Raw genomic sequence first — 2,166 nt, forward strand, 5'->3', positions numbered from 1 at the left:
TTTTCTGGAAAACATCTTCAGTGCACGGGGTGAGGAGTTGAAGGTTTATTTTTACGTGTCTGTTTTTAGCTGCACATCCACTTTGCTGGCTCACGGTGGAAGCCCCTTTGTATGAGACATCCCTGACTGCATTTGACCCGGGAGCACAACCCATGCCAAATGATCATTTCTCACAGGCTGCTTGACGTTCTGGAGAGAGGAAACACCTTGATAACTCACTGAGATGTGTTATGTCAGAGAAAGTGTGCCATGGATCCCCGACAGCTCCCACGGGGCCTCTCAGCGGCGCAGCGTTGAGTGCCAGGGACTCCCCGCTCCCCTGCTCAAGGCCCACTGCTCTTCGCCTCTCCTTACCCGGCCGTGTACACTTGGCTGCCATTTTCTCAAACACACTTACGCAGTGGTATTTTGTAACGACGTCAATTCTTTTCCTGCCTGACCCAGAAGATTACAGTGACTCAATGCTGGCTGGTCAACCTTAAAGATTAAATCGGGGACATTGGCTTAATGATTTTAACAGCTAGTGTAAAGGATTTCCCAAGTATGAGAATCAGGATGGGAAGGAGGGTTGGGATTTTATTTAATCTTAAAGAGAAAGTCAGTAACACAGCTGAAAGCAAACTTTACTTTTGTATTTCTTAAATAAAAAGCTTCAAGTTTAAAAGATTTAAACAGAAATATAGGTTCTAATGGAGAATCAACATACACCAAATGGATAAAATGCCTTACCATCTGAATGAATATCCAACTCTATGTTGGAAACTATGCAAGAATCATTATTATTCTATGATTGTGATATCTATTTGCTCTAGTTCAGTGCTTCTCAAATGTTAATATGCCTAAGGGTCTCCTGGGGAGCTTGTTCATAATGCAAATTCATGGATCACATCCTCAGACCTCAGTAGGTATGGAGTGGGCCCCAGGAATAGGAATTAAATAAGCGCTCCCAGCGATTCCAATGCAATGCAGATGGTTGTGGAGATGGGGCCCCCTTAGCCACCCTCTGGGCACTGACAGAAAATGAAGGAAAAATAAGAAAGCCTATGGCAATTAAGCTTTATGAACATACCTGCTCAGAAAAACCTTTTTTTTCACTCCAACTTCTAGCATCCCAGAGAGAAATACAGTTTCAAGAGAAGGGAAGCCCTGGAATAGTGATTTCTTTGTAGAGCTTAGTATACTGTCTAGAAGTATTTGGAAATCCATTTAGCAGATAATAAAAATTCCTGCCTGGAATTTGCTGAGGACAAATCTAGGTGTGTGCTCCAGGATTCTGCGTCTGGTCTGGAGCGCTTCCCTGTTGAGCTCTGTGTCCTTGCTCTCCATCCTCCCAAGCAGTTGCACGTGGTGGTGGGGCTGTGGTGCCGGCCAGGTGGGACGGGGAATGCCTGGGCAAGCCGGCTGCCTGGCCACTGGGCTACCCTGCCAAGCTGTTACTGGGCGCTGGGCTGCTGCATATGGGTCAAAGGAAAGGAGAGGGGTGAGTGATAGCCTCCTCCTTGGCTTACAGAGTGTGTCCTCTCTCAAATTTAGGAAAGTCTTGTTTTTCTCTTTGAGGAGAATCAGGCCAAATTACTTTATTTTTAAAATACTGTATGTAGACTCCATGGATGAATAGAGATGCAGTACTTGCAAGAAAATATCAACAACAAAAACACCTCTTTTCTTTTGTGATTTATTTTCCTGCTGCCATCTTGAAAGGCACCAGTCACTTGAAGCTTCTTGGGAAGGCAGACATGTTATGTAAGGTGACCGATTCTGCCCTCGGTGCCTGTGAGTTCTATATAAATTACCTACTGGACTTGGATATCTCACAGAAACTGCAAACTTGATGTGCACAAAAACTGGGTGTACTATCAAAATCCCTTTGGTGTTTTTTGCAGAAATAGAAAAAAGTTCATCCTAAAATTCATATAAGAGCTCAAGGGACCCTAAATACCCAAAATAATTTTGAAAAATAAGAACAAAGGAGGTGAATGCTTCCTGATTTCGTATTACATATTACAAAGCTACAGTAATCAAAACTGTGTGGTACTGGCAAAAGAATAGACCTATAGACCAATGCAATAGAATAGAGAGCCCAGAAATAAACTCTTGTGTATATAGCCAAATGATCTTCAACAAGGGTTCCAAGACCACTTAATGGGGGAAAGAAAGGTCTCTTCA

The 2,166-nt window shown here is 43.3% G+C and overlaps 2 annotated features.

Moving 5' to 3' along the window:
- Positions 871-1,375: an enhancer, noted in NCBI's record as "H3K27ac-H3K4me1 hESC enhancer chr8:55158108-55158612 (GRCh37/hg19 assembly coordinates)". NCBI's record gives its function as "activates a minimal SCP1, AML or CMV promoter by ChIP-STARR-seq in primed H9 embryonic stem cells {active_cell/tissue: H9 hESC(primed)}" and the evidence as "EXISTENCE:reporter gene assay evidence [ECO:0000049][PMID:30033119]".
- Positions 1,376-1,880: an enhancer, noted in NCBI's record as "H3K27ac-H3K4me1 hESC enhancer chr8:55158613-55159117 (GRCh37/hg19 assembly coordinates)". NCBI's record gives its function as "activates a minimal SCP1, AML or CMV promoter by ChIP-STARR-seq in primed H9 embryonic stem cells {active_cell/tissue: H9 hESC(primed)}" and the evidence as "EXISTENCE:reporter gene assay evidence [ECO:0000049][PMID:30033119]".

The sequence above is a fragment of the Homo sapiens genome, chromosome 8 (assembly GCF_000001405.40).
Source record: "Homo sapiens chromosome 8, GRCh38.p14 Primary Assembly".
NCBI classification, from domain to species: Eukaryota; Metazoa; Chordata; class Mammalia; order Primates; family Hominidae; genus Homo; species Homo sapiens.